The sequence below is a fragment of the Homo sapiens genome, chromosome 11 (genome assembly GCF_000001405.40).
Source record: "Homo sapiens chromosome 11, GRCh38.p14 Primary Assembly".
Taxonomy (NCBI): domain Eukaryota; kingdom Metazoa; phylum Chordata; class Mammalia; order Primates; family Hominidae; genus Homo; species Homo sapiens.
The window spans coordinates 42,206,657-42,227,151 of NC_000011.10; the positions used below are offsets into that span (position 1 = coordinate 42,206,657).

A 20,495-nucleotide genomic window follows, 5' to 3' on the forward strand; every position below is an offset into this window, starting at 1 on the left:
AAACACAGCACGAGAACTTCATGAAGCATACACAAGTATCAATAGCCGAATCGATCAAGTAGAAGAAAGGATATGAGAGATTGAAGATCAACTTAATGAAATAAAGCATGAAGACAAGATTAAAGAAAAAAGAATGAAAAGGAATGAACAAAGCCTTCATGAAATATGGGACTATGTGAAAAGACCAAACCTACATTTGATTGGTGTACCTGAAAGTGATGGGGAGAATGGAACCAAGTTGGAAAACACTCTTCAGGATATTATCCAGGAGAACTTCCCCAACCTAGTAAGACAGACCAACATTCAAATTCAGGAAATACAGAAAACGTCACAAAGATACTCCTTGAGAAGAGCAACCCCAAGACACATAATTGTCAGATTCACCAAGGTTGAAATGAAGGAAAAAATGTTAAGGGCAGCCAGAGAGAAAGGTTGGGTTACCCACAAAGGGAAGCCCATCAGACTAACAGTGGATCTCTTGGCAGAAACCCTATAAGCCAGAAGACAGTGAAGGTTAACATTCAACATTTGTAAAAGAATTTTCACCGAGAATTTCATATCCAGCCAAACTAAGCTTCATAAGTGAAGGAGAAATAAAATCCATTACAGACAAGCAAATGCTGAGGGATTTTGTTACCACCAGGCCTGCCTTACAAGAGCTCCTGTAGGAAGCACTAAATGTGGAAAGGAAAAACCAGTACCAGCCACTGCAAAAACATACCAAAATATGAAGACCATTGACAATATGAAGAAACTGCATCAACTAATGGGCAAAATAACCAGCTAGCATCATAATGACGGGCTCAAATTCAAACATAACCATATTCACCTTAAATGTAAATGGGCTAAATGCCCCAGTTAAAGACACAGACTGGCAAATTGGATAAAAAGTCAAGACCCATCGCTGTGCTGTATTCAGGAGACCCATCTCACATGCAAAGACACATATAGGCTCAAAATAAAGGGATGGAGGAATATTTACCAAGCAAATGGAAAGCAAAAAAAAAAAAAAAAAAAAAAAAAGCAGGAGTTGCAATCCTAGTCTCTGATGAACAGACTTTAAACCAACAAAGATCGAAAAAGACAAAGAAAGACATTATATAATGGTAAAGGGATGAATGCAACTAGAAGAGTTAACTATTCTAATATATATGCACCCAATACTAGAGCACCCAGATTCGTAAAGCAAGTTCTTAGAGACCTACAAAGAGATTTAGACTCCCACACAATAATAGTGGGTGACTTTAACACCCCACTCTCAGTATTAGACAAATCAATGAGAAAGAAAATTAACAAGGATATTCAGGATTAGAACTCAGCTCTGGACCAAGCAGACCTAGCAGACATTTACGGAACTCTCAACCCCAAATCAACAGAATATACATTCTTCTCAGCATCAGAATATACATTCTTCTCAGCACCACATAGCATTTATTCTAAAATTGACCACATAATCGGAAGTAAAACACTTTTCAACAAATGCAAAACATGGAAATAATAACAAACAGCCTCTCAAACCACAGTGCAATCAAATTAGAACTCAGGATTAAGAAACTCACTCACAACCGCACAACTACATGGAAACTGAACAACCTGCTCCTGAATGACTGACTACTGGCTAAATGATGAAATTAAGGCAGAAATAAATAAGTTCTTTGAAATCAATGAAAACAAAGACATAATGTAGGAGAATCTCTGGGACACAGCTAAAGCAGTGTTTAGAGGGAAATTTATAGCAGTAAATGCCCACAGGAGAAAGTGGGAAAGATCTAAAATTGACACCCTAACATCACAATTAAAAGAACTAGAGAAGCAAGAGCAAACACATTCAAAAGCTAGCAGAAGACAAGAAATAACTAAGATCAGAGCAGAACTGAAAGAGATAGAGACATGAAAAATCCTTCAGAAACCAATGAAACCAGCAGCTGGTTTTTTGAAAATATTAACAAAATAGATAGACTGCTAGCCAGACTAATAAAGAAGAAAAGAGAGAAGAATCAAATAGACACAATAAAATATGATAAAGAGGATATCACCACTGACCCCACAGAAATACAAACTACCATCAGATAATACTAAAAACACCTCTAGCAAATAAGCTAGAAAATCTAGAAGAACTGGATAAATTCCTGGACACATACACCCTCCTAAGACTAACCCAGGAAGAAGTCAAATCCCTGAATAGAACAATAACAAGTTCTGAAATTGAGGCAGTAATTAATAGCCTACCAAAAAAAAGAAGCCCAGGACCAGATGGATTCACAGCCAAATTCTACCAGAGGTACAAAGAGGAGCTGGTACCATTCCTTCTAAAACTATTCCAAACAATTGAAAAAAGGGACTCCTCCCTAATTCATTTTAAGAGGCCAGCATCATCCTGATATCAAAACATGGCAGAGACACAACAAAAAAAGAAAATTTCAGGCCAATATACCTGATGAACATTGATCCAAAAATCCTCAATAAAATACTGACAAACTGAATCCAGCAGCACATTAAGAAGCTTATCCACCACAATCTAGTCGGCTTTATCCCTGAGATGCAAGTCTGGTTCAACATATACAAATCAATCAGCAAAATCCATCACATAAACAGAACCAGTGACAAAAACCACATGATTATCTCAATAGATGCAGAAAAGGCCTTTGATAAAATCAGTACCTCTTCAGGCTAAAAACACTCAATAAACTAGGTATTGATGGAAGGCAACTCAAAATAATAAGAGCTATTTATGACAAAGCCACAGCCAATATCATACTAAATGGGCAAAAGCTGGAAGCATTCACTTTGAAAACCGGCACAAGAAAGAGATGCCCTTTCTCACCAATCCTATTCAACATAGTATTGGAAGTTCTGGCCAGGGCAATCAGGCAAGAGAAAGAAATAAAGCATATTCAAATAAGAAGAGAGGAAGTCACATTATCTCTGTTTGCAGATAACGTGATTGTATATTTAGAAAACCCCATCATCTCAGCCCAAAAACTCCTTAAGCTAATAAGCAACTTCGGCAAAGTCTCAGGATACAAACTCAATGTGCAAAAATCACGAGCATTCCTATACACCCATAAGAGACAAACAGAGAGCCAAATCATGGTAAACTACCATTCACAATTGCTTCAAAGAGAACAAAATACCTAGGAATACAACTTACAAGGGATGTGAAGGACCTCTTCAAGGAGAACTACAAACCACTGCTCAAGGAAATAAGAGAGGACACAAACAAATAGAAAAACATTCCATGCTCATGGATAGAAAGAATCAGTATCATGAAAATGGCCATACTGCCCAAAGTAATTTATAGATTCAGTACAGAGGTCTCTGAAATAACACCATGCATCTACGACCTTCTGATATTTGACAAACCTAACAAAAGCAAGCAGTGGAGAAAGCATTCCTTATTTAATAAAAGGTGTTAGGAAAACTGGCCAGCCATATGCAGAAAACTGAAACTGGACCCCTTCCTTACACCTTATACAAATATTAACTCAAGATGGATTAAAGATTTAGATGTAAGACCTAAAACCATAAAAACCCTAGAAGAAAACCTAGGCCATACCATTCAGAACATAGACATGGGCAAAGACTTCATGAATAAAACACCAAAAGCAATGGCAACAAAAGCCAAAACTGACAAATGTGATCTAATTAAACTAAAGAGCTTCTGCCCAGCAAAAGAAACTATCACTAGAGTCAACAGGCAACCTGCAAAATGGGAGAAAATTTTTGCAATCTATCCATTTGACAAAGGGCTAATACCGAGAATCTACAAGGAACTTAAATAAATTTACGAGAAAAAACAACCCCATCAAAAAGCCGACAAAGGATATAAACAGACACTTTTCAAAAGAAGACATTTATGCGGCCAACAAACATGAAACAATGCTTATCATCACTGGCCATTAGAGAAAAGCAAATCAAAACCACAATGAGATACCATCTCACGCCAATTAGAATGGCAATCATTAAAAAGTCAGGAAACAACAGGTGCTGGAGAGGATGTGGAGAAATAGGAATGCTTTTACACTGTTGGTGGGAGTGTAAATTAGCTCAAGCATTGTGGAAGACAGTGTGGCAACTCCTCAAGGATCTAGAATTAGAAATACCATTTGACCCAGCAATCCCATTACTGGGTATATACCCAAAGGATTATAAATCATGCTACTACAAAGACACATGCACATGTATGTTTATTGCAGCATTGTTCACAGTAGCAAAGACTTGGAACCAACCCAAATGGTCATCAATGATAGACTGGATTAAGAAAATGTGGCCCATATACACCATGGAATACTGTGCAGCCATAAAGAAGAATAAGTTCATGTCCTTTGCAGGGACATGGATGAAGCTGTGAACCATCATTCTCAGCAAACTAGCACAGGAACAGAAAACCAAACACCGCATGTTCTCACTCATAAGTAGGAGTTGAACAATGAGAACACATGGACATAGGGAGGAGAACATCACACAGTGGGGCCTGTCGAGGGGGTGGAGGACACACTGAGGGACAGCATTAAGAGAAATAACTAATGTAGATGACTAGTTGATGGGTGCAGCAAACCACCATGGCACATGTATACCTATGTAACAAGCCTGCATGTTCTGCATATGTATCCCAGAACTTAAGGTATTTTATATATATATATAAATAAATATATATATATATATATATATATATCTTATACCATAACATTTACAGTACTTCTGTTTCTCTGAAGGATAATTATACTGATCCTGAAAGTGGTTCCAAAGAACATAATCTTAAGAATGGAAATCCACAGTTGGTTCTCTGATGGGCTAGAGTTAAAGACACTAATAACATGTTTGCCAGTAATAAATGGAGTGATGGTAGTTCATAGCATGCAATGGAAGAACTGTCATTTAAATTATTCACCTGTAGTTATCTGGAATCAGATGTGTATAAAAGACAAAGCTTTGTCAGACTATAAAACAATTCAGTAGAAATGAAAAGTATACAACTTATGAAGCTGGTTGATTGGTTGATTAATTTACAAGTGTGCTTATGCATATAGAAAAAAAAATGATGAACACAGGTTTAAATTCTCAGCTCAAGTTTTTGTTTGTTTGTTTGTTTTCAGAAGCTAGAAAGTTGTTATTACTGGAAGGAGGGACTTTGGGAAGAGCAGAGTGAGAACCTCTATACGTTTTACTCTATAGAAGCAAAAAGAAAACTGGCAAAGTTGTTCAAATCAACTTTTTTAGAACTCTGGAAATTAACCAAAGAATTTCAACAATCCAAGGAGCATTTATCTAAGAAAACTGCCTAATTTCAGTAAGAAGAGTGGAGATTTGTGTCATTTTAACCTGGTTGACTCCCATGCCCCACTCTGTAACACCATGGTAAGTCTTTGAAACAGGAGTAACTCCCAATGTTGGACATGTGGCCTAGAGAGAAGTATTTGTATTTAGGGTCAAATTCCTCATAAATGCCTCGGGTCATCTCCTTGGTAATGACTGAGCTCTTGCTCTGGGTTCACGTGAGATCTGATCATTTAAAAGTATGTGGCACCCATTCTTACTATCTCTCACTTGCTCCTGCTTTCACCATGTGACATGCCTGTTCCTTCCCCTTCACCTTCTGCCATGATAGTAAGCTTCCTGAGGCCTTCCCTGGAAGCCAAGTAAATGCCTGCACCATACTTCCTGTAAGTTCCTGAAGAACTGTAAGCCAATTAAATGTATTTTCTTCATGAATTATCCAGTCTTAGGTATTTCTTTATAGCAGTCAAAGAACAGCCTAATACAGAAAATTGGTACCAGAAGAAGGATATTGTTATAAATATACCTGAAGATGGGGAAGGAAAGTTGGAACTTGGTAATGGGCAGAGGTTGAAAAAGTTTGGAGGGCTCAGAAGTCAGAGAGATGTGGGACAGTTTGGAACTTCCTAGAGACTGATAATATGGCTGTGACCAAAATTCAAAATTCTAACAGTGATATGGACAGTGAAGTCCAGGCTGCTGAAGTCTCAGATGGAAATGAGAAATTTATTGGCAACTGGAGCAAAGGTCACATGTATTATGTCTTAGCAAAGAGCTGGGCTGTATTCTGTTCATGCCCTAGGGATCTGTGGAAGCTTGAACTTCAGAGTGTTGATTTAGGATATCTGGTGGAAGAAATTTCTAAGAAACAAAGCATTCAACATGTGGTGTGTTTGCTTTTAAGAGCCTAGCCTCAAATGTGGAAGCAAATAAATGACTTAAAGTTGGAATGTATATTTAAAAGAGAAGCAGAATGTACAGGTTTGGAAATTTGCAGCCTGGCCATGTGGCAGAGACAGAAAAAGCTTTCTCAGGAGAGGAATTCAAGCAGGCTATGGAGCAAACACTTGCTAAAGATATTTGCCTAACTAAAAGAGAGCCAAGTGCTAATAGCTGAGAAAATAGGTAAAAGGCCTCAAAGTCATTACAGAGATCTAAAAGGCAGCCCCTCCTATTACAGGCCCTGAGGCCTAGGAAGACAGGTACCACTCAAGGTACCACTGTTCTGCACAGTCTTGGGACACTGGTTGCTGCATCCTGGCCATCCCAACTCCACCTGTGGCTCAAAGGGGTCCAGCTACAATTTGAGTGGCTACTCCAGCTCCAGAGGGGGCAAACTGTGAGGCTTGATGGTTTCCACACGTGTTAAGCCTGTGAGCACACAGAATGCAACAGGAAAAAGGCTTGGCAGCTCCCAATCAGGTCTCCAAAGATGTATGAGAAATCCTGGGTGCCCAGGCAGAAGCCTGCTGCAGGTTGGAACCCTCACAGAGAACCTCTACTAGGCCAGTGCCAAGGGGAAATGTAGGGTTGGAGCTTCCACACAGAGTCCCAGTAAGGTACTGTCTAGTGGAGCTGTGGGAAGGGGCCACTGTCCTCTAGACCCCAGAACGGTAGATCCACTGGCAGCTTGCACCCTCTGCCTGGAAAAGCCACAAGCACTCAACAATCTGTGAGAGTAGTCACAGGAGCTGAAACCTACAAAGACACAGAGGTGGAGCAACCCAAGTCTGTGGGAGTCCACCCCATGTAGCAGTGCACCTTGGATGAACAAGATGGAGTCAAAGATTATTTTGGATCTTTAATATTTAATGGTTGCCCTGCTGGGTTTTGAACTTTCATGGGTACTATAGCCCCTTTCTCTTGGGCAATTTTTCACTTTTGGAATGAGAATGCTTACCCAATGCCTATACCTCCCTGTTGTATCTTGTTTTTGTTTTACAGGCTTGTAAGTGAAAGAAACTCATTTCAAATGAGAAACTGGGCTTTGGACTTTTAATTAAATTTTATTTAGTTAAAAACTTTGAGGTAATTCTGGAATGAGTTAACACTTTCAGGGACTATTGGGAAGGTGTGATTGTATTTTGCCATGTGAGAATATGAGATGCTGGGACAGGGGGTGAGGGGGTGTTCAGAATGATATAGCTTGAATATTTGTCCCTGCCCTAATAGCATTCTTCTCTCTCTCTCTCTTTTTTTTTGAGACAGAGTCTTGCTCTGTCACCCAAGCTGGGGTGCAATGGCATGATCTTGGCTCACTGCAACCTCCACCTCCCAGGTTCAAATGATTCTCCTGCCTCAGCCTTCTGAGTAGCTGGGATTATAGGCATGCACCACCACACCTAGCTAATTTTTTGTATTTTTAGTAAAAACAGGGTTTCACCATGTTGGCCAGGCTGGTCTCAAACTCCAGACTTCTGGTGATCTGCCTGCCTTAGCCTCCCAAAGTACTGGGATTACAGGCATGAGTCACTGCACCTGGCCCAAATCTGATGTTAAAATGTAATCCCCAGTGTTGGGGGTGAGATCAGGCGGGAGGTGTTTGAATCATGGGATTCATTGTTCATGAATGGCTTGGCCCATCCCCTTGGTAATTTGTGAGCTCTCGCTCTCTCTCTGAGTTCACATGAGATCTGGTTGCTTAAAAGTGTGTGGCAACTCCCCCTCCTCACCCTCTCTCACTTGCCCCTGCTTTCACCATGTGACAGGCCTGCACCCCCTTTCCTTTCTGCCTAATTTTAAGCTTCCTGAGGCTCCCTAGAAGCTGAGCAGATGCCAGCACCATTCTTCCTGTGAAATCTACAGAATTGTGATCCAATTAAACCTCTTTTCTTTATAAATTACTCAGTCTCAGATATTTCTTTACAGCAATGCAAGAATGGTTTAATACAGAGTACAAGATTTGTATACTGAAAATCACAAAACATGACTAAGGGAAATTAAGGATCTAAGTGAATTGAGAAACATACAATACTCATGTACTGGAATACTCAATATTGCTAAGATGAAAATTATTTTCTATCCCATCCCGCAGTCCTGTTGCTTCTTGATCCCTGAAAATAAAAGAGGATACAAACAAATGGAAGAACATTCCATGCTCATGGGTAGGAAGAATCAATATCGTGAAAATGGCCATACTGCCCAAGGTAATTTACAGATTCAATGCCATCCCCATCAAGCTACCAATGACTTTCTTCACAGAATTGGAAAAAACTACTTTAAAGTTCATATGGAACCAAAAAAGAGCCCGCATCGCCAAGTCAATCCTAAGCCAAAAGAACAAAGCTGGAGGCATCACACTACCTGACTTCAAACTATACTACAAGGCTACAGTAACCAAAACAGCATGGTACTGGTACCAAAACAGAGATATAGATCAATGGAACAGAACAGAGCCCTCAGAAATAATGCCGCATATCTACAACTATCTGATCTTTGACAAACCTGACAAAAACAAGCAATGGGGAAAGGATTCCCTATTTAACAAATGGTGCTGGGAAAACTGGCTAGCCATATGTAGAAAGCTGAAACTGGATCCCTTCCTTACACCTTATACAAAAATCAATTCAAGATGGATTAAAGATTTAAACGTTAGACCTAAAACCATAAAAACCCTAGAAGAAAACCTAGGCATTACCATTCAGGACATAGGCGTGGGCAAGGACTTCATGTCCAAAACACCAAAAGCAATGGCAACAAAAGCCAAAATTGACAAATGGGATCTAATTAAACTAAAGAGCTTCTGCACAGCAAAAGAAACTACCATCAGAGTGAACAGGCAACCTACAACATGGGAGAAAATTTTCGCAACGTACTCATCTGACAAAGGGCTAATATCCAGAATCTACAATGAACTCAAACAAATTTACAAGAAAAAAACAAACAACCCCATCAAAAAGTGGGCGAAGGACATGAACAGACACTTCTCAAAAGAAGACATTTATGCAGCCAAAAAACACATGAAGAAATGCTCATCATCACTGGCCATCAGGGAAATGCAAATCAAAACCACAATGAGATATCATCTCACACCAGTTAGAATGGCAATCATTAAAAAGTCAGGAAACAACAGGTGCTGGAGAGGATGTGGAGAAATAGGAACACTTTTACACTGTTGATGGGACTGAAAACTAGTTCAAAAAACACATGAAAAAATGCTCATCATCACTGGCCATCAGAGAATGCAAATCAAAACCACAATGAGATACCATCTCACACCAGTTAGAATGGCAATCATTAAAAAGTCAGGAAACAACAGGTGCTGGAGAGGATGTGGAGAAATAGGAACACTTTTACACTGTTGGTGGGACTGTAAACTAGTTCAACCATTGTGGAAGTCAGTGTGGCGATTCCTCAGGGATCTAGAACTAGAAATACCATTTGACCCAGCCATCCCATTACTGGGTATATACCCAAAGGACCATAAATCATGCTGTTATAAAGACACATGCACACGTATGTTTATTGCGGCACTATTCACAATAGCAAAGACTTGGAACCAACCCAAATGTCCAACAATGATAGACTGGATTAAGAAAATGTGGCACATATACACAATGGAATACTATGCAGCCATAAAAAATGATGAGTTCATGTCCTTTGTAGGGACATGGATGAAATTGGAAACCATCATTCTCAGTAAACTATCGCAAGAACAAAAAACCAAACACCGCATATTCTCACTCATAGGTGGGAATTGAACAATGAGATCACATGGACACAGGAAGGGGAATATCACACTCTGGGGACTGTGGTGGGGTCAGGGGAGGGGGGAGGGATAGCATTGGGAGATATACCTAATGCTAGATGACGAGTTAGTGGGTGCAGCGCACCAGCATGGCACATGTATACATATGTAACTAACCTGCACAATGTGCACATGTACCCTAAAACTTAGAGTATAATAAAAAAAAAAAATTAAAAAAAAAAAAAAAAGAATTGAAGAGGAAAACAGGTCCCATGAAACCACTGTCTGTCCAGAAAAGTAGAGGGCTGACACTGTGAAGTCAGAGCACACTTCTCCTAGGTTTCTGGGTACCTAAGGAAACCAATGAGCCAAGACACTTAAGGCACTGAAGCCTTCCCTCCTCCCAGTAGTTTGTTGTTACTAGCCAAAAATAGCATAGCAAAACAAAAATAAAGGTGCCCACCTTTATTTAGCTGAATCTCCTTGTTGCCACAGAAATTACTTCACTTTTGCCATTCTCATGCTGTCAAAGGCTATCAAATATCCCTCTCTGAATGTAGAAGGGAATAAACTAGACAGAATGTAGGACTGGACTAGCCACATTGTAGAACATAGAGTTAGCATGGTGGAAAGGGAAAGAATCCTGTTTTTAAATTTTTTTAAATTGTCTTTGAGCTGTGCAGTTAGCCTCTTAACATATGCAATGTAGACTTCAGAAGAGCTTACCAGAATGGGAATTTGAGCACGCAAGACGGCCCAGAAAAAGAAGAAGTGATATGCAGAGAAGTTCTAGGTGAAGACAGAAAGTGGAGCCCTGAGATACTCCTATAGCTCATATTTTATGAGGAACAAGTGTTACGATTTGGGTCCTAGAATTGTAGCCTAAGAACTAGTGTCTGGAAAACTGAGGTTTAAACTTGGGAAACATGAGGGTAAGAGGAAATAAATGTTAGGTTCCTGGACACAAGGAAAGGAAGGTGGCAGGAAGGTAATTGGGGATCCTGATGGCGCTTTAAAACGTTCGTCATTTTTGCCTGGAAAGTAAATAAAGATGATTTTCAAACTTCCCTGCAAATGAGGTAAAGCCTGTGGCTGTTCTCTCAGAGGGGGTCCAGTGTTCCTAGGCTGAAGGTATTTACAGTAAAGGTGCATAATCAGGTGTCATAGTCATTAGCAGGTGCCCCAGAATTCTTTATACATGACTAGAATGGGGGATAGAAGTGGACTAAGATACAGGATCATGAAATGGTAAAAAAACAAAAACAGAAACAAAAAAACACAAAAAAAAACCCTACTGTTCAACATATGATTAAAAAAAAATGTGGATTCACCAGAAAAAAATTGATGAAACTGTATTTTAACATTGGCTGATGGCTAGTGCCTTTTACAGTGGGTTTGGCATCATTTAAACAAAATATGTGTCAACCAGAATGGTATGTATGGATAAATATCTATTATCACTTTGGATTTTTAATTTCTAATATGTATTCCATAAGACATAATCTAAAGATTTGCAATCACCTTGTATCCATTTCATGTTATTAGATGTTGCCATAGACTTTCCTCTAGATTAAAATTGACAAAAGATTGCGTGAGCCCAGGAGTTTGAAACCAGCCTGGGCAATATAGTGAGACCTCCTCTCTACTAAAAATAAAAAGGTTAGCTGGGCATACTGGTGAATGCCTGTAGTCCCAGCTACTTAGGAGGCTGGAGCTGAAGGATCCCTTGAGCCCATGAGGTTGAGGCTGCAGTGAGCCATGATCATGCCACTGCATTCCAGCCTGGGTGACACAGTGAGACTCTGTCTCAAAATAAAATAAAATAAATAGGTCAGGAGTTCAAGACCAGCCTGATCGATATAGTGAAACCTCGTCTCTACTAAAAATACAAAAATTAGCTGGGCATGGTGGCGTAGCCCCAGATATTCAGGAGGCTGAGACAGGAGAATTGCTTGCACCCCAGAGGCAGAGGTTGCAGTGAGCTGAGATCATGTCACTGCACTCCAGCCTGGGCAACAGAGCAAGACTCTGTCTCAAAAAAAAAAAAAATCATCAAGTGTCTTCTCTAATGACAATGGAATAAAACTAGAAATCAATAAGAGGAATTTTAGAAACTATACAAACACTTGGAAATTAACCAGTATGGTCCAGAATGACCAGAGGATCAATGAAGAAATTAAGAAGAAAACTTTAAAATTTATTGAAACCAATGTTAATGGAAACACAACATACCAAAACCTATGGAATACAATGAAAAGGGTACCAAGAAAGAAGTTTATAGCTATAAGTGCCTACTTCAAACAAGAAGAAAAACTTCAAATAAACAACCTAACAATGCCTCATAAATAACTGGAAAAGTGGGAGTATAGCAAACACAAAGTTAGTAGAAAAGAAATAATAAAGACCAGAAGAGAAATAAGTGAAATTGAAATGAAGGAAACAATACAAATGATCAAGGAATCAAAAAGCTGGTCTTTTGAAAAGATAAATAAAGCCAGACTACCTAAAAAAAGAAGCCAGAAGACCCAAATAAATAAAATCAGACATGAAATAAAACATTACAACTGATACTACATATGTACAAAGGATCATTAGAGATTATTATGAGCACCTATATGCCAATAAGTTGGAAAATCTAGAAGGAGTGGATAAATTCCTAGACACATACAACCTACCAATATTGAATCATGAAGAAATCCAAAATCTGAAAAGACCAATAACATGTAACAAAATAGAAGCCAAAATAAAAAGTCTCCTCTCAAAGAAAAGACCAGGAACTGAAGGATTCACTGCTGAATTTTTCAAATATTTAATGAAGAACTAATACAAATCCTACTCAAACTATTCTGAAAAACGAGGCAGAAAGAATACTTCCAAACTCATTATATCAGACAAGTCCCACCCTGATACCAAAACCAGACAAAGACACATCAAAAAAAAAAAAACTACGGTTCAATATCTGATGATTATTGATGCAAAAATCCTCAATATAATACTAGCAAGACAAATGCAACAACACATTAAGAAGGTCATTCATCATGACCAAGTGGGATTTATCCCAGGGATGCAAGGATGGTTTGACATATGTAAATCAACCAAGGTGATACATCATATCAACTTAATGAAGGACAAAAACCATATGATTATTTCAATTGTTGCTGAAAAAGCATTTGATAAAATTCAATATCATTTTATTATTATAAATTCCCCAAAAACTGGGTATAGGAGGAACATACCTTAACACAATAAAAGCCATATATGACAGATCCACAGCTAGTATCATACTGAATGGGGAAAAACTAAAAGTCTTTCTTCTAAGATCTGGAACACAATAAGGCTGCCCACTTCCACCACTGTTATTCAACATAATACTGAAAGTCCTTGCTACAGAAATCAGACAAGAGAAAAAAATAAAAGACATTCAAATTGTAAAGGAAGAGGTCAAATCATCCTTGTTTGCAGATGATATAATCTTACATTTTGAAAAACCAAAGACTCCACCAAAAAACTACTAGAACTGAACTGTTAGAACAAATTCTGTAAAGTTGCAGGATATAAAACTGACATACAAAAAGCAGTAGTATTTCTACATGCCAACAGTGAATAATCTGAAAAATAAATCAAGAATGTAATGTAATTTACAATAGTAGTCCCAGCTACTCAGGAGGCTGAAGCTGAAGGATCCCTTGAGCCCATGAGGTTGAGGCTGCAGTGAGCCATGATCATGCCACTGCATTCCAGCCTGGGTGACGCAGTGAGACTCTGTCTCAAAATAAAATAAAATAAATAGGTCAGGAGTTCTATTTGGATCTATTCTGGATCTTTTGTGGTTCCATATAACATATAGAATTTTATAAACTTTTAGAATCAAATAAAATTAAATACCTAAGAATTAAATTAACCAATGTAATGAAAAATCTCTACAATGAAAACTGTAAAACACTGATGCAAGCATTTGAAGAGGGCACAAAAATTGGAAAGATACTGCATGTTTATGGATTGGAATAATCAATATTGTTAAAACACCCATACTACCCAAAGTTAAATCCCTATCAAAATACAAATGACATTCTTCACAGAAAAAAAAATTCTAAAAGTTATATGGAACCACAAAAGATCCAGAATAGCCAAAACTATCCTAAGCAAAAACAACAAAACTGGAGGAATCACATTACCTGACTTCTAATTATACTACAGAGCTACAGAAACCAAAACAGCATAAAAACTGGCATAAAAACAGATACACAGAGCCATGGAACAGAATAGAGAACCCAGAAACAAAACCCTAGATCTACAGTGAATTCAATTTCAACAAAGGTGCCAAGAACATACATTGGGGAAAGGACCGTCCCTTTCAATTAATGAGGCAGGGAAAACTGGATACGCATAAGCAGAAGAATAAAACTAGAACCCTATCTCTTGCCATATATAAAAATCAAATCAAAATGGATTAAAGACTTACATCTAAGACCTCAAACTATTAAGTTGGTGCAAAAGTAATTGCGTGGGTTTTTTTTTTTTTTGCCACTAAAAGTAACTGCAAAAACTGTGATTGCTTTTACACCAACTAATATAAAACTACTGCAAGAAAACATTGGATAAAATATCCAGGACATTGGAGTGGACGAAAATTTCTTGAGTAATAGCCCATAGGCACAGGCAACCAAAGTAAAAATGTACAAATGAGATCATATCCAGTTAAAAGCCTGCACAGCAAAGGAAACAATCAACAGAGTGAAGAGACAACCCACAGAATAGGAGAAAATACTTATAAACTATCCTTCTGACAAAATATTAATAATCAGAATATGGAAGTCGAACAAATAACTCTATAGGAAAAAATCTAATGCTCTGATTTTTAAAATGGGCAAAATACACGAATAGATATTTTTCAAATGAAAACATACAAATGGCAAACAGGTATATGAAAAGGTGCTCCACATCCTTGATAATTAGAGAAATGCAGATCAAAACTAAAATGGCATAGTATCCCACCCTAGTTAAAATGGTTTTTGTTTATCTAAACGACAGGAAATAACAAATGCTAGTGAGGATGTGGAGAAAAAAGAACCGTCATACACTGATGTTCAAATGTAAATCAGCACAACCACTTAGAGAACCGTTTGGAGGTTCCTCAAAAAACTAAAAATTGAGCTAATAAATGATCCGTTAATTCCACTGCTAGGTATATACCCAAAAGAAAGAAAACCAATATATCAAAGGAATATCTGCCCTCTCGTGTTTATTGCAGCACCATTCATAATAGCCAAGATGTGGAAGTAACCTAAGTGTCTGTCAATAGTCGAATGAATAAATAAAATGTGGTATATGCCATCTCACGCCAGTTAGAATGGCGATTATGAAAAAGTCAGGAAGCAACATATGCTGGAGAACATGAGGAGAAATAGGAACACTTTTACACTGTTGGTGGGAGTGTAAATTAGTTCAACCATTATGGAAGACAGTGTGGTGATTCCTCAAGGATCTAGAACCAGAAACACAATTTGATCCAGCAATCCCATTACTGGGTATTTACCCAAAGGATTATAAATTATTCTACTATAAAGACACATGCACACGTATGGTTATTGCAGCAATATTCACAATAACCAAGACTTGGAACCAACCCAAATGCCCATCAAGGATAGACTGGATAAAGAAAATGTGGCACATATATACCATGGAATACTACGCAGCCATAAAAAAGAACGAGTTCATGTCCTTGCAGGGACATGGATGAAGCTGGAAACCATCATTCTCAGCAAACTAACACAGGAACAGAAAACCAAACACCGCATGCTCTCACTCATAAGTGGGAGTTGAACAATGAGAATACATGGACACAGGGAAGAGAACATCACATACCTGGGCTCGTTGGGGGCTGGGGGACAAGTGGAGGGATAGCATTAGGAGAAATACCTAATGTGGATGATGGTTTGATGGGTGCAGCAAACCACCATGGCACAGGTATACCTATGTAACAAACATGCACATTCTGCACATGTATCCCAGAACTTAAAGTATAATAATAATAATAATAAAAGAAAATGTGATATATATACACAATGGAGTACTAGTCAGCCACAAAGATGGAAGAAGATCCTTTCATTAGAAAAAAACATAAATGGAACTGAATGGTTTATTTAAGTGAAATAAACCAGGGACAGAAAGACCAACTTTGCATGTTCTCACTTATTTGTGGAAGCTAAAAATTAAAACAATTGAAATCATTGAGATAGAAAGGAGAATGATGGTTACCAGAGGCTGGAAAGGGTAGTGAGGAGATGGGGGAAGTGGAGATTGTTAATGGGTACAAATAATAGCTAGAAAAAACTAATAAGATCTAGTATTTAATAGCACACCAGGGTGATTACAGTAAATAATAATTTAAATGTACAATTTAACTAAAAGAGTATAATTGGAGTATTTGTAACACAAAGGATAAATGCTCGAGGTGATGGATTGCCCATTTACCATGATGTGATTATTACACATTGTATGCCTGTATCAAAATATCCCATATACCCCATAAATATATACCCATACTATGTACACACGAAAATTAAAAATAAAAAAAATCCACCTATAATTCATAATTAGAATTAGCTAATAGTGTGCTTCATAACTGCAAGATTTCTCTCATTCTTTTTGTTGTAATTTTAATATCTATTTTCCATAGCATACAGGCCTTTTACAAATATCTAAATGAGTGGATAAATGAATAAAATGATGAATACATTATAAGTGTACAAGTTAATATTTTGTATATTTTGTTTTATACTACATTTTCACATATTATTTCTTTTCCTTTTATATTTTTTCTTTATGTTTTTTATTTATTTATTTATTTATTTATTTTGAGACTGAATCTGACTCTGTCACCCAGGCTGGAGTGCAGTGGCATGGTCTTGGCTCACTGCAACCTCTGCCCCCCGACTTCAAGCAATTCTCCTGCCTCAGCCTCCTGAGTAGCTGGGATTATAGGTGCCTGCCACTGCACCTGGCTAATTTTTGTATTTTTAGTAGATACGGAGTTTCACCATCTTGGCCAGGCTGGTCTTGAACTGCTGACCTTGTGATCCACCCGCCTTGGCCTCCTGAAGTGCTGGGATTACAGACATGAACCACTGAGCCAGGCGTGTATTTTTTCTTTTTTATATGATTGCAAGTATACCATGTATACACTATTGATTAATTCCTTTTTATTTATCATTTCTAAATTATCATGTGTCTGTAAACTATAAAATATCAATTAAAATTGCTGTATAGTATTCCACTGAGTGATTGATTAATTTATCTTGCCAGTATTACCTCTTTAGATATCGAGGCTGCTTTCCATTATTTTTATTATAACTAGCACAACCAGCAATATCTTTATTCAGAACCACAAGCATATTTGATACATGGCATAATAACATTATGAACTTATTCCTATCCTCAAATACTTATCTTTACACCCCACCGGCAAAAACACATTTGCTAAGTTTTTCAAAAAAATTTTTTTTGTGTGAAAAATGTTTGTGGGCTTAGATTTTGCTACAAAGAGCATTTAATTTTATTTCTTCTTGTTGTTTTGAGAAAAATGTTCAACGATTTATGCATTATTAACATACTGCACATTGTATTGGATTAAAACGTTCAGAGCCCATTTACATGCTCTGTATGCTGCTCTAAGGTTGAAATTTAGACAAAGCTTTTCCCATATTCCTGGCTGACTTCCAGGGAGAAAATTGCTTGACTAGGTGAGAAGCAAGGTACAAGGCAGGTATTATTCCAGTTGATACAGTTTATACATGTATCAGTGTGCTAATTTGCCAAGGAAGGAATAAATTTTGGACATTCTTCCCACCAACAAAATTTTTTAGAAACTTATTCTTACTCACAGATTTTTATGCTGTATATAATAAAACACTCTCCATTGCAGAGACTTCCTCACTTTATGAACTGATTATGCCACACAGAGGTTTCCCAGGCAGCATCTGTTGCTACGACTATTTGCTCTTTATCCAGACATTGGCTTAACATTTGAACCCACAGGCTGAGTTTAAATACGTTGGATTAGTTATAGGCCACATGCTTTTGTATTTTATTATGTTATTAGATAAAATTACAGATACATGAATTGCTAACCAATTTTGCTTTTGTAATACAATGGACTGGTATGGAAACGCAAGTAAAAAATAGTGGAAAAATTATGTTATAAATCTAAAAAAAGAGGCTGATAAATCTCATGAAGAAATGCAAACTGAGAAAACCTAATTGTGATACAACCCATGGCTTCTTGTAACACATTACATGGTTTTTTGAAGACTTACTTTACTTATCTGTCTCTCCCACTTAAGATAATCTCCTTGAGGACAATAGTTTTGTATATTACATTTCTATATAAGCATAACTTAGCCCAAGTGTCATAAAAGATATTTAATAAATCTAGGCCTATCAAATAAGTATAATATAAACCAACACCAATGGTGTGACACAATTAGTTTTGAAAGAGAACAGATGACATTGTAGGTATAAACATCAGTTTGGTGGATAACTCAGATGGGGCCATTATACGATCACGCAGAGTAATGAAGTTATGCAGGTAAATCTCCTTAAAAGCAGCAAACATCCTTTACCTTTTTATTTTAAAAAATTAAACAGAAAATTAAATGCAGCAACATATATTAATTACTATATTGAGTACAAAGTTAAACAGCCACTAAATCATGAAGTGCAAAAAGTTTTTCCTATAATTGTAAACCCATCCACGTTAAGCAAATGTTGGATTTTAATTTGTAATCAAGCTCCAGAATACATTCTTTAATTAAATAAAAACCCTCCTTTAATGCAAAGTTAAATTTTCAAATTTAAGCCACCAAAATTAAGAAAAAAATCAAAGCTAAGCTTCTTGTGAGAGCATGGAGTACATAATAAACAATGAGCAAATAACATCTTATATTAGATGCTATAATGTAAGCAAATATTGTTGTAAGCAGCTTAGTGTCTGTCTACATTTAACAACTTTGTTGCTTTCATTTTCAAGATTAAGTCCTTTCCATGACTAATGCTTTTTGATAGATATTTTCTTTTTATTTTTTCTTTTTTTGTGGAGGTGGTGGGTGGGGTGGAATTTAAGGCTAGTTGTACTTCATTGGGGGTAAAGTTTGAAAATCTTATTTTCAAACTAAACCTCTCTAAAGAGTGCCTGCCTCCATTTTGTACCTTTATAGCAGTACAGGAAAGCCATTCACCTGCCCCCAGCTTTCAAAGAAAGCATTTGCATATCCTACTTCTGTTCTTGCTTGTGTCCTAGTTCCTTTTTTTTTTTTTTTTTTGAGATAAGTCTTGCTCTTGTCCCCCAGGCTTGAGTGCAATGGCTGGGATCTTGGCTCACTGCAACTTCCACCTCCAGATTCAAATGATTCTCCTGTCTCTGACTCCCAAGTAGCTGGGATTAAGGCGCCCCCATGCCCAGCTAATTTTTGTATTTTTAGTAGATACGGGGTTTCACCATGTTGGCCAGGCTGGTCTGGAACTCCTGACCTCGGGTGATCTGCCCACCTCGGCCTCCCAAAGTGATGGAATTACAGGCATGAGCCTCTGAGCCAGGACCCTAGTTCCTCTTATTTTGAGGCCACTTTTCTTTCTCATCTTCTCTTTCATTTCTCTGTCTCAGATTAACTTGCGCTTTAAACTTTGGTCTTCTAGCCCAGTCAATCCTCAACTGCCACAGGGTCACTTTGGGCATGAATCTGATTCCCAGTATTTTTCTTGGACTTTATTGATGCTTCAACAGACGAAGAGCAGAAATGAACTTGCAAAACTGTACAAATTTCAATAGAAAGCATTGTTTTTGTTGTTGTTGATCTTATCTAGTTTTATAGTAAGTCCCGAAGTCCCAGAAGTTTAGCATTTAAATCTTTGAATCATTACCTTTAAAAAAAAAATGATCATTAACAGATATCAAAGCATCTGAAATCAAAACTAGGCTTGCAAAACTGATACCAAGCACCATTAGAGATCAGTACTACCACTTGTTTGCCTTTAAAAAAATGTGGGGTCACTCAGTAATGAATTTTGCTCCCCTTTAGTAGGATGCTAAATGAATACTGCCAGTAATTGTATAAAATTAAGACTTTATACTGGCTCCATTCAATCCCAGGAATGGATAATGAAATACATAAAGGTCTTGCAATTACTCCAGGAGAGGATGCTTTTAGAATATGGTCTTCCTCTAATAAAACTCATCCCTAACTCAAGCTCATTTACATTGTTGTTTGTGAATATCCCTCATTAGAATCGCCCTTACTCAAAGTATCTTTCCTGTTTGTTCAGTGTTCAGTGTTCCTGGGGGGAAAAAATCTCATACCTTAGCAGTGTTAAGTTTAGTTGCCAAAAACCATGTCTCAAATACAAAATTTTTATAAAGGCTGCTGTTACGAAAAGCATGAGGGGCTTTGCAAGGGATGGGAACACCGGGACTATATCCTGCTTGACCACTTGTTAGCTGCAGAACTGTGGGCAAGTCAATTTACCTCTTATAGTC

The 20,495-nt window shown here is 37.6% G+C and overlaps 1 long non-coding RNA gene across 1 annotated transcript in view, besides 1 other annotated feature; it reads right to left on the minus strand.

Annotated features, from left to right (window-relative positions):
* Positions 1 to 20,495, minus strand: part of LINC02740 (long intergenic non-protein coding RNA 2740) — a 65,948-nt gene that overhangs the window by 18,914 nt on the left and 26,539 nt on the right. The gene's annotated exons all lie outside the window — the stretch shown is intronic.
* Positions 15,718 to 15,972: a silencer, noted in NCBI's record as "fragment chr11:42243924-42244178 (GRCh37/hg19 assembly coordinates)". NCBI's record gives its function as "represses an EF-1alpha promoter that drives an FKBP-Casp9 reporter gene in an ReSE screen in phorbol 12-myristate 13-acetate-treated (for megakaryocytic differentiation) K562 erythroleukemia cells {active_cell/tissue: K562(+PMA)}" and the evidence as "EXISTENCE:reporter gene assay evidence [ECO:0000049][PMID:32094911]".